Here is a 12,282-nt window from a genome sequence, read left to right as displayed (position 1 = left end):
CCCCCCCAAAATAAATACGTCCAAATCTAATACCCAATGTGATGCTGTTAGGAGGTGGGGCCTTTGGGAGGTGATTAGGTCTATGAGGGTGGGGCCCTTATGAATGGGATTAGTGCCCTTATAAAAGGGACCCCAAAGAGCTAGCTCACCCCTTCCAACATGTGAAGACACAGCTAGGAGACACCATCTATGAACCAGAAAGCATCGCTTACCAGACCTTAACCCTGCTGGCACCTTGACTGTGGACTTTCCAGCCTCCAAAACTGTGAGAAATAAATTTCCGTCATTTAAAAGCTACCCAGTTGGCTGGGCGTGGTGGCTCACGCTTGTAATCCTAGTACTTTGGGAGGCCAAGGCAGGCAGATTACCTGAAGTCAGGGGTTCAAGGCCAGCCTGGCCAACATGGTGAAACCCTGTCTCTACTAAAAATACAAAAGTTAGCTGGGCATGGTGGTGGGTGCCTGTAATCCCAGCTACTTGGGAGACCGAGGCAGGAGAATCGCTTGAACCAAGGAGGCAGAGGTTTCAGTGAGCCAAGATTAAGCCACTGCACTCCAGCCTGGGCAACAGAGTGAGACTCCTTCTCAAAAAAAAAAAAAAAAAAAAAAAAGTTACCCAGTTTATTATATTTGGTTATAGCAGCCCACACAGACTGAAACAAAGGCTAAGGAGGAGAAAGTCTGGGTTTGGCAGGGACTGGTTTGTGGATCTGCCGTGGAAAATGCAAACAAGGGTGGGAAAAGGGTTTCGAAAAGTGTGACTGAGGATTATAAATTGAGACCTTGTTGGTATTCTTTCGGACACATAAAGTGGCATTTTTTAAAATAATTACCACCTAAGGGTCTAGATTCCGCATAAATCCTTAGTGTCATCACTGCCCGCTTCTATTTGGTAGATGGTTCTTGGTGTCACTGACTGCTTCTCATGCCAAACATTGAGTTCTCATTCAAATGCAAGCCCTGTTGCACGTGCTTAGTCCCTGAGAGCAGGCCAGATCGGGATGGTGGGTGCCTGTGACTGCATTCGGTGCCACCCCAAAAGCTGATGCACGTCTACCTACATGCCTCATGGCAATCAGCAGAAGGACAAAATGACCAATCCTGGCCCTGGTAGGAGACTATAGCTTTCTTAGGACTGTCTTTTTTTTTTTTTTTTTTTTTTTTTTTTGAGACAGAGTCCCATTCTGTAGCCCAGGCTGGAGTGCAATGGCGCTGTCTGGGCTCACTGCAACCTCCGCTTCCCAGGTTCAAGCGACCTCCTGCGTCAGCCTCCTGAGCAGCTAAGACTACAGGCACCCGCCACCACACCCAACTAATTTTTGTATTTTTAGTGGAGATGGGGTTTCGCCATGTTGGCCAGGCTAGTCTTGAACCCCTGACCTCAGATGATCCACCCACCTCGACTCCCAAAGTGCTGGGATTACAGGCGTGAGCCACTGCTCCCAGCCTGGACTGTCAAATTTTTTAAACTATGGATTACTAAAGAGAGACTTCTTATTTGAAAAGATTATTGCAGGTGGAGGGAAAGGGGCTATCATAATAGGAGAGGAAACTATTGGAAAAAGAAAAGCACTGTGACAACAAACTCTGCAGATGTCTCAACAGCTAGGCAAAAAGAAAACCAGCATGGTGGCTTACCCCTGGAATCCCAGTGCTTTGGAAGACTGAGACAGGGAGATCACTTGAGGTCAGGAGTTCAAGACCAGCCTGGGCAACATAGCGAGACCCCATCACTACAAGAGATTTTTTAAAAGTAGCCGGGCATGGTGGCACGTGTCTATAGTCCCAGCTACTCAGGAGGCTGAGGCAGGAGGATCACTTAAGCCCAGGAGTTGGAAGCTGCAGTCAGCTATGATCAGCCCGACTGTACTGCAGCCTGGGCAATAGAATGAGACACTATCTAAAAAATAAATAAATAAATGAGAATTAGGCCAAAAGAGATTTTCTTTTATAGAAAGGGATAAGTGAGACTGGAAAGAACAAGGTGTGGGAAGTGAGATGAAAGGGGGTGTGATCAGATAGCAGGTCAGGGCATGTTTTACCCCGAAGCCAGCCTGTTCCCAAGAGGGGCTGTCTGCCATCAGGCTGCTGGCTGGCCACAGTTCAGGGGCCTGGGGGAAGGAGGGAAGCTGGACCAATATTCAGTTAACAAGCATTTTATTCCCACTGATCAGTGGAGACAAGTATCTCAGCTAATTACTTCTAATTACTCATTTTCTTTCTTTTTTATTTATTTATTTTTTTTTTGAGACAGACTCTTACTCTATAGCCCAGGCTGGAGTACAATGGCACGATCTCAGCTCACTGCAACCTCTGCCTCCTAGGCTCAAGCAATTCTCCCACCTCAGCCTCCCGAGTAGCTGGGACCACAGATGTGCACCACCACACCCAGCTAATTTTTATATTTTTAGTAGAGATGGGGTTTCACCATATTGGCCAGGCTGGTCTCAAACTCATGAACTCAAGTGATCCGCCCACCTCGGCCTCCCAAAGTGCTGGGATTACAGGCATGAGCCACCATGCCCAGCCTCGGCTAATCACTTATGAAGCAAAGAATGGGAATTTAGAGGGTCCTCATCTAGCCTTGTCATCGGTAACAATGGGAGCATCTGAGAGTCTTAGGTATTTGGGAAAGGGGGAATAATATGGTTTGGATGTGTGCCTCCTCCTAATCTCATGTTGAAATGTGACCTCTAATGTTGGAGGTGGGGCTTGGTGGGGCTTGGTGGGGGCTTTTCTGGTAGATCCTTCGTGAATGGCTTGGTGACCTCCCCATGGTAATGAGTTCATTCAAGAGCTGCTTGTTTAAAGGGCCTGGCATGTCAGCTGGGCATGGTGGCTCACACCTATAATCCCAGCACTTTAGGAGGCCAAGGAGTGCAGATCACCTGAGCCCAGGAGTTCAAGGCCAGCCTGGGCAACACGACAAAACCCCATCTCTACAAAATATACAAAAATTAGCTGGGTGTGGTGGCGGGTGCCTGTGGTCCCAGCTACTCAGGAGGCTGAGGCAGGAGAATGGCTTGAGCCTGAGAGTCAAAGGTTGCAGTGAGTTGATATTGCACCACTGCACTCCAGCGTGGGCGACAGAGTGAGACCCTGTCTCCAAAAAAAAAAAAAAAAAGACACACATTTCTCGTCATGTGACACACCTGCTCCCCACTCACCTTCTGCCATGATTAGAAGCTTCCTGAGGCCTCACCAGAACCAGATGCTGGCATCAAGCTTCTTGCACAGCCTGCAGGACCATGAGCCAAATAAACCTCCTTTTTTAATACATGTCCCAGTCTCAAGTATTCTGTTATAGCAATGTGAAACAGACTAATACAGGGGGTTTTTGCAGTAAGCCATTATCCAGAACACAAAAGGATGAGGGAGTTTCTTAATGAGGGTTAAACTTCAAGATTGCCAGAATGCACTTGAGCTTTGAGTCTCTCCATGCTCTTTTCCTGAAGGAGGACAGTTGTGGAACCAGCTGGGTGATGCTGGTTAGGGGCTCAGAAGGGTACCCTTTGCCATTAAGAGTCCAAGAAGCACATCAGAGCCTGGTGGCCTAGCAGAGGATGGCGTGCTCAGCACACACCCCCAGTCCAGCAAGGGATGTTCCACACATACTTAACAAGGACAGATGAACCCCATGCTGGGGGAGCATCCTTGCACTTTGTTCAGTGCACAAACCACACAACCATCCATGGCAGGCCTAACCATTTCTTCTTCCAACCAGCATTTTCCAGAGTCTGACCTGCCTCCACAGGGCATATCCAGCCCACAAATAACCCTCCTGTTTGACCTTTCTCAAGTTTCTGCCGCCCCTAAACTGGGCTATGCTCTACTTAACTAGGCTATCCTCTATATGCTGCAGGGAGCTCTCGGCTCACCCTTCAGCTTCCACATCCCCATCTCAGGCTGCTCTGCAACCCCCTGCATAGGCCCAGAGGAAGCAGGTCGGACTCCTGAGGTGCTGGTTGGAGGAAGAAATGGGCAGGCCTGCCACGGATGGTTGCGTGGTTTGTGCACTGAACAAAGGCAACAAGTGGAAGTGGGAGGTGGGGTGGAATTCCAGTGTGTAGTTTGCTGGCCAAGCCACTTGGCATGACACAGATTTCCTTCCCCCTTTTAGGACCCCTTACAGAACTCTTCACAGCTCCCTCCAAGGCATGGAAGAGCCACTGGGCCACTTGATTTGAACATCTTTCACAGAGAGAGACATACTCTTACCATCAAAGCTTTGCCAACACATAGTCACAAGGTGATAAATTCTTGTAACTTGCACAGGGCCAAGCCTGGCAAGACTTGCAGACTGCACTTGGTGAATCTGTTTGCACGAATTAAGTAGCTCAGTCACTAATCATCTCAAAATATAAATGATTTAGATGTCCATCTATTTGAAGACCATGAAATATTTGTATTTTGCTAACAAAATGACCAGTGTTTCAGCCCTGAAGAAGGGCGTGGTATACCAGAAAGCCAGAGCCCTGAAAATCAGTTTGACAATCATGCTTCAAGGTGGTCTTGATGCTGACTCAGAGGAGGAGAGTCATTCCACTCCAGGAGAACAATGCATTGTGCAGACCCCGGGATGTGGACCATCTCCACCCTCAGCTCCCAGAGCTCAAGTACTTTGGCCCACAAGCCCTGGATCCTGCAAACCTATACAGTAACCTCATGCAAACGAGCAGATACAGCACTATGCATGCATAGTCTGGTGAGAGAAGGCATCTTTGTGCAAAGAAACAAGCATCCTTTCCTCTGGGTAGAAGCAAGCCTATGTCATGCCACATGGCTTGGCCAGCAAAACACATACTGGAATTCAGCCCCACCTACACCTTCCATCTGTTGCCTTTGTTCAGTGCACAAACCACACAACCATCCATGGCAGGCCTGCCCATTTCTTCCTCCAACCAGCAGCTCCAGAGTCTGACCTGCCTCCTCAGGGTGTATCCAGCCAACAAATAACCCTCCTATTGGATTTTTCTCAAGTTTCTGCTGCCCCTAAGCTGGTATTTTCTCCTGTTAAATCCATTGGTTCAAATTGTCTGGCCCCCCACTAGGAGGTCTATATACCCATTTCCACCATTGCCACCACCACCATCCAAAATTATTCCATAGTTTGTAGTGTATGAAACAAACAACCAACAGATCGACATTCAAACCTAATTACAGAGGTTCAAGTACCTTCCACTTTCCTATGCAGACTTCCTTTGTCCTCAGGGCTTTTCCTCCCTGGGGAACCCCTGGGAAGGACATGGTGATTTTGAAGCGGCCTCGTTGTCTGGGGTGATACCTGATATTCATTGTCTCATGCCAAGGAAATCAAGGACGCAGGCACACAAGGAGTGATGTTAAGCGTGGAGGTTTAATAGGCAAAAGAAAAAGAAGCGCTCTCTCCTGCAGAGAGACGGTCCTGAACGGGTTTCCCACTTCTGTGGTGCAATGCATGCAGAAGGTTTTATAGATGAGTTTGAGGATGCGGTGTCCGATTTACATAGGGCACAAAAGATTGGTCGGACCACGTATGCCATTTGCATAGGGCAGGAAAAACCGGTTAGGGCTAGGTGTGCCATTTGCATAGGGAGTGAAAAGCTGGTCACCCCACCAAAATCTTTCATTATGCAGATGGGTTCTCTATTTGGCTAGAACCAAGTTGCCTGATTCTCTTTTTTTTTTTTTTCTTTTGAGATGGAATCTCGCTCTGTCTCCCAGGCTGGAGTGCTGTGGCGCGATCTCAGCTCACTGCAAGCTCCACCTCCCGGGTTCACGCTGTTCTCCTGCCTCAGCCTCCCAAGTAGCTGGGACTATAGGTACCCACCAGCATGCCCTGCTAATTTTTGTATTTTTAGTAGAGACAGGGTTTCACCATGTTAGCCAGGATGGTCTCCATCTCCTGACCTCGTGTTCTGCCCGCCTCGGCCTCCCAAAGTGCTGGGATTACAGGCGTGAGCCACCGCGCCCGGCCGCCTGGTTCTTTACTGTACACATGGTGACAAGGAAAAGGGAAGATGGAGGGGGCAGTGGCTAAATAATTTCTGCCTAAATAATATCTATGTCCTGTATCAATTTCTCTCTTCCTAGCATCCCTCCACCCACAGGATCACCCAGCATCATCAGAAAATGCCTCATTCCCAAGACCCCACATATTGCTTCTGATACTGTGTAAAGTATTTGGAGCAAGAAAAACTAAGACCCATTTCCCAGCACTAAATGGAACAGAACAATTTTGGCTGGAATTATTGAGCTAAAATGAAGTGTCTACACTGCCTGATCCCACCAGTGTCAGTCTCCCCTTTAAATTTCTTATCTCAGTGGAAACATCATTTTCATGGAGGAAAAGAAATCCAAGCTGGGCATGGTGGCTCATGCCCGTAATTCCAGCACTTCAGGAGGCCAAGGTGGGAGGATCATTTGAGGCCAGGAGTTTGAGACCAGCCTGGGCAACATAGCAAAACTCTGTCTCTACACAAAAAAATTAAAATTAGCCAGGCGTGGTGATGCATACCTGTAGTCCCAGCTACTCGGGAGGCTGAGGCAGGAGGATCACTTGAGGCGAGGAGTTGGAGGCTGCAGCGAGCTATGATGATGCCAATGCACTCCAGCCTGGGCAACAGAGCAAGACCCTATCTCAAAAAAAATATTTTTTTAAGAAATCCTTTCCCATCTGTTTTGAAGAAAGAAAATAAATAATTTTGCTAACCTGTTAATGATTTCATGGCTTCCAAAAAAATAAAAGATTCTTACAGAATTTTGTTTTTCCTTCCTAGCTTTTTAAGACTGAGCTGAAATTCGCCTGCTAAGAAATGCTGCAGCCCTGTCATTGCCCCTGAAAGAGAAGACATCACCATGATCCCAGGCTCCTGTCCCCCTTCTCGCCAGAAGAGGGATCAATGTCACCGCTAAAGTTTACATGTCATCGAGTTGGCAGTTACCACCGAGCGCACGGCGGAGAGGCGGCCGTCCCACTGACAGCATCAGCTGTTGTTTCGCGTGTTCCCAGTCGGGATGTCACGTACAACAGAAGGAGGCGGCAGGGAAGAGCTTCAAACAAGCAAGAAGTGTCACGCAGAGAGTTAACTCAAGCCCATCCCTCTGCCTCTCACCTCCTGTTGACAGCAGAGATGCCCAGACCCCCTTCGCCCGCTCCTTCAACGCACACAAATGGAAATCCAACTCCGCCTTTGAGCCACCTCATTTACCATTCATTCACTACTTATGGAGTTCTGTTGTTACGGGCTGATGGGGTCCCCTCAAAATCTATATGCTGACGCCCTAACCCCCAGTACCTCCGAATGGGACTGTCTTTGGAGACAGGGTATTTTAAGAGGTGGTTAGGGGCTGGGCATGGTTGCAGGTAACAGAAAACTCAGCTAATGTTCCTTTAAGCAAAAAGACACATGGCCGCATAGGTAGCAAGAAGTCTGGACTTCCAGCTGGGCACAGTGGCTCACGCCTGTAATCCCAGCACTTTGGAAGGCTGAGGCAGGCGGATCACCTGATGTCAGGAGTTCTAGGCCAGCCTGGCCAACATGGCGAAACCCCGTTTCTACAAAAAAAATAATGCCTCCACCTCCCGGCTTCAAGCGATTCTCCTGCCTCAGCCTCCCAAGTAGCTGGGATTACAGTCATGCACCATCACACCCAGCTAATTTTTTGTGTTTTTAGTAGAGACGGGGTTTCTCCATGTTGGTCAGGCTGATCTCAAAGTCCTGACCTCAGGTGATCCGCCCACCTCGGCCTCCCAAAATGCTGGGATTACAGGCCTCCAGCATCTTTTAAACACACTAGACTCCCAGAAATCCCTCCAGGGGCTGAACGGGCCCCAAGCCACAGATGGTGGTTGCAGAATCCACCTGCCACATGGACAGGATAATTCCAAAGGCTTCCATGTGGGTCTGGTCATTGGAAGCCCTAGAAGCCAGCAGGCCCCTCTCCCCACAACTCTCCCAGGTTACAGCCTGGTGTCACACCCTCCAATGCCACCAGCACTAGGACTAGAGTGGGAAAGAGAGAAGGTGGTGTCTGCAGAGCCAGGAGCTGTGCTGTGGGAAGGGGAGGGGGATTACTCAGCTTGCCAGATTACCAGAAAGGGACCACCAGATCTGTGCTGGGGTCATGGAAAGAAAAGGAGCACCAGCAGAAACTAGGGATAGAAAGGAAACGAGGGGAGGGGCAGAGAGTGATGGACAGTTTAGAAGTTGCAATAGATGGGGTGCTCCCAGCATAAAGAGGAGGTCACTGAGGACCAAGCTGGCATCAGGGATGGAACATGACCACTTCTTTTTGTTTTGTTTTGTTTTGTTTTGAAATAGAGTCTCCCTCTGTTGCCCAGGCTGGGGTGCAGTGGCGTGATCTCGGCTCACTGCAACCTCTGCCTCCCGGGCTCAATTGATTCTCCTGCCTCAGCTTCTCGAGTAGCTGGGATTACAGGCACGTGCCACCACGCCCACCTACTTTTTTGTATTTTTAGTAGAGACGGGGTTTCACCATGTTAGCCAGGATGGTCTCGATCTCCTGACCTTGTAATCCACCCGCCTCGGCCTCCCAAAGTGCTAGGATTACAGGCTTGAGCCACCCTGCCTGGCCTAGAACATGACCACTTCTACAGATGCTTCCAGAAGCAGTCAGAGAAGAACAACAGCTTCTTCCTTGCAATCCTGCATTCTGATTTCTTGTTGCCTCCTCTGGGCAGAGACACCAGGAAACCAGAGGGTGGGAAATGAGCTGTGCAGATGCACAACCCAGTGTGAGAGAGCAGGGCATGGAAGGGCAGAGTGGGGCAACTAGAAGGTGGGGCTGATAGCAGCCCCTCAACAGGGCCAGCCCAATCCATACAAAGCCAGCTACAGTGTACACGAAGCTGCAAGCAAGCCTGGGCTCTTCTCCCAGTGCCCACTTGTTCTACCCCAGCACCAGGATGCCAGGCACCACACTTGTGTCAGCTATAGCTTATGCACATGCGGTATTGAGCCACGAGGGACCCTGTGGGCCATCAGGTCTAACACACCTCTGATATAGACATGACAACTGAGGGCCGGACGTGGTGACTCCCACCTGTAATCCCAGCACCTTGGGAGGCTGAGTTAGGCGGATCACCTGAGGTCAGGAGTTCGAGACCAGCCTGGCCAACATGGTGAAACCCCATCTCTATTTTAAAAATACAAAAATTAGCCAGGCATGGTGGTGGGTGCCTGTAATCCCAGCTACTCAGGAGGCCAAGGCAGGAGAATTTCTTGAAACCGGCAGGCGGAGGTTGCAGTGAGCCGAGATCACACCACTACACCCCAGCCTGGGCAACAGAGGGAGACTCTATCTCAAAAAAAAAAAAAATGCAAGCACTGAAACCCAGAGAGATGAAGTGACCTGCCCAATGTACACAGATGGGTAAGGGACCATCAAAACCTCTCTCCAGTGAGGATGAGCCTCAGACATCTCTTTGACCAGATTGGAGTATTATATTGATTCCTGCTCTGGAAAATTCCACCTCTCTGTGCAGCTAGACCTTGCAAAGCCATGACCTCAAAAGTCAGCCAGCATAATGTGCATGGGGCATGGGGCAAAGACCAGGAAGAGACAGCTGTCGGTCAGGGTCTCTGCCCTTACACTGCCTGGGGCCATCCATGGCCTCTAACGGGCAGACAAGCTTGTGTTCAGGGCAGAGTATCTGGTAGCTGCCTGTCTACATCCATGGTGAGACAGCACTGAGCACACTCCCAGGAAAGGGGCGGACAGAAGGCACTTCCCACATGGTAACATGGCATCTTAGCAATTACAGAGTCGTTTAAAGGCACTTTGTCAGCACTCCGCCCATAACAAGAATAGAGGCTCCCAACCCATTATTATATGGGGAAGAAAAAAATAGGTGACCAGGCAAATGTTCATGGCAATTTCTGCTTTGCACACAGTTTTGCCCTCAGTGAGCTTGTACGGATAAGGCTCCCTGCAAAAGGGAACTGTGGGCCCGGGTGCAGTGGTTCACACCTGTAATCCCAGCACTTTAGGAGGCCAAGGTGGGAGGATCACTTGAGGCCAGGAGTTCAAGAACAGCCTGGCCAACATGGTGAAAACCCGTCTCTACTAAAATTACAAAAATTGACTGGGTGTGGTGGCACACGCCTGTAATCCTAGCTACTCGGGAGACTGAGGTGGGAAAATTGCTTGAACCTGGGAGGCAGAGGTTGCAGCACTCCAGCATGGGAGACAGAAAAAGAAAAAAAAAAAAAAGGCAACTGTGTGATCAATGGGCACTTGTTTGCCTGAGGGTTGCCAAGGAAGGATTCGCTTTCTGCTTCCTGTGGGTTTCCCAGTGCGAGCCAGCTAGAGCCCTGGCCATGAGGCTGACCTCTAATACACATTTTCCATTCCCTCCCCAGCCTCTCCTTTTCTGTATCTCCCTCTCCAGTTCCTCTTTCTCTACCACATCCTTGCTCTGTCTCCCTCCCCTCTCTTGATATCTCTCTCTCTCTGTCCTCCTGCCATTTATTTCATCTTTCTCCTTTTGCCATGTCTAAGCCATCACTCCTCCTTTTATTTATTTATTTATTATGTGAGACAGGACCTTGCTGTGTTGCCCAGGCTGAAGCGCAGTGGTGTGATCATAGCTCACTGCAGCCTCCAACTCCTGGGTTCAAGCGATAATCCTGCCTCAGCCTCCCAAGTAGCTGAGACTACAGGTGCACACCATGACATCCAGCTAATTTTTATTATTTGTAGAAACAGGATCTTGCTGTGTTGCCTAGGCTGGTCTTGAACTCCTGGGCTCAAGCAATCCTCCCTCCTCAGCCTCCCAAGTAGCTGAGACTACAGGTGCACACCATGACATCTGGCTAATTTTTATTATTTGTAGAAACAGGATCTTGCTGTGTTGCCCAGGCTGGTCTTGAACTCCTGGGCTCAAGCAAGCCTCCCTCCTCAGCCTCTCAAGTAGCTGAGACTACAGGTGCACACCATGACATCCAGCTAATTTTTATTATTTGTAGAAACAGGATCTTGCTGTACTCCTGGGCTCAAGCAATCCTCCCTCCTCAGCCTCTCAAGTAGCTGAGACTACAGGTGCACACCATGACATCCAGCTAATTTTTATTATTTGTAGAAACAGGATCTTGCTGTGTTGCCCAGGCTGGTCTTAAACTCCTGGGCTCAAGCAATCCTCCCTCCTCAGCCTCCCAAGTAGCTGGGACTACAGGTGCACACCACCATGCCCAGCTAATTTTTATTATTTGTAGAGACAAGGTTTGCTGTGTTGCCCAGGCTGGCCTTGAACTCCTGGGCTCAAGCAATCCTCCCTCCTCAGCCTCCCAAGTAGCTGGGACTACAGGTGCACACCACCAGGCCCAGCTAATTTTATTATTTGTAGAGACAAGGTCTTGCTGTGTTGCCCAGGCTGGTCTTGAGCTCCTGGGCTCAAGCAGTGCTCCCATCTCAGCCTCCCAGGTAGCTGGAACTACAGACATGCACCACCACATCCAGTTGATTTTTAAATTTTCGTAGAGATGGGATCTCACAATGTTGCCCAGACTGGTCTCAAACTCCTGCGTCAAGCCTCCCACCTCAGCCTCCCAAAGCACTGATTACAGACATGAGCCTCCACATCTGACCTCACCTCCTTTTTCTTTTTCTGTGATTGAATTCTAGCTCTAGCACTTTCTCTGGGACTGAGGATCTCAGCTATTTAATCTCTCCACTCCTTCATCCGTAAATGAGGTATGTCACTGTGCCCCAGATGCTGCGGCCTATTCACTTACTGTTCCTCAAGTAGACCAAACATGTTCCCACCGAAGGGACTTTGCACCTGCTCCTCTCTCATTTCATGCTGCAAGCACCCTGTCTATTGCAGCTCTTCAACTGTCCATCACTCTCCAGCCCTCCCCTTGTTTCCTTTCTATCCTGAGTACTAACCCCTGCCTGAGGGTATATTTCATATTTATTGTTCAACCTTCTGTTGCCTGTCTCCCAACTAGAAGGTAGATTCCAAAGGGCAGGGACTTTGTTTTGTCCATTGCTGTATCCTAAACACCTCAAACAGCCCCAGATGCATAGTAGGCATTCAACAGGTATTGGCTGGGCGCAGTGGCTCACACTTGTAATCCCAGCACTCTGGGAGGCCGAGGCAGGTGGATCACTTGAGGTCAGGAGTTTGAGACCAGCCTGGCCAACATGATGAAACCATGTCTTTACCAAAAATATAAAAAATTAGCTGGGTGTGGGCCGGGTGCGGTGGCTCACATCTGTAATCCCAGCACTTTGGGAGGCTGAAGCGGGTGGATCACGAGATCAGGAGATCAAGACCATC

The 12,282-nt window shown here is 49.3% G+C and overlaps 2 annotated features.

Moving 5' to 3' along the window:
• Positions 5,404 to 5,698: an enhancer, noted in NCBI's record as "tiled region #817; K562 Activating non-DNase unmatched - State 21:Repr". NCBI's record gives its function as "activates a minimal TATA promoter and a strong SV40 promoter by Sharpr-MPRA in K562 cells {active_cell/tissue: K562}" and the evidence as "EXISTENCE:reporter gene assay evidence [ECO:0000049][PMID:27701403]".
• Positions 5,404 to 5,698: a silencer, noted in NCBI's record as "tiled region #817; HepG2 Repressive non-DNase unmatched - State 22:ReprW". NCBI's record gives its function as "represses a minimal TATA promoter and a strong SV40 promoter by Sharpr-MPRA in HepG2 cells {active_cell/tissue: HepG2}" and the evidence as "EXISTENCE:reporter gene assay evidence [ECO:0000049][PMID:27701403]".

The sequence above is a fragment of the Homo sapiens genome, chromosome 7, assembly GCF_000001405.40.
Source record: "Homo sapiens chromosome 7, GRCh38.p14 Primary Assembly".
Classification (NCBI taxonomy): domain Eukaryota; kingdom Metazoa; phylum Chordata; class Mammalia; order Primates; family Hominidae; genus Homo; species Homo sapiens.
Note: the sequence above shows the minus strand (reverse complement) of the source record. Positions and strands in the feature narration are given on the sequence as shown.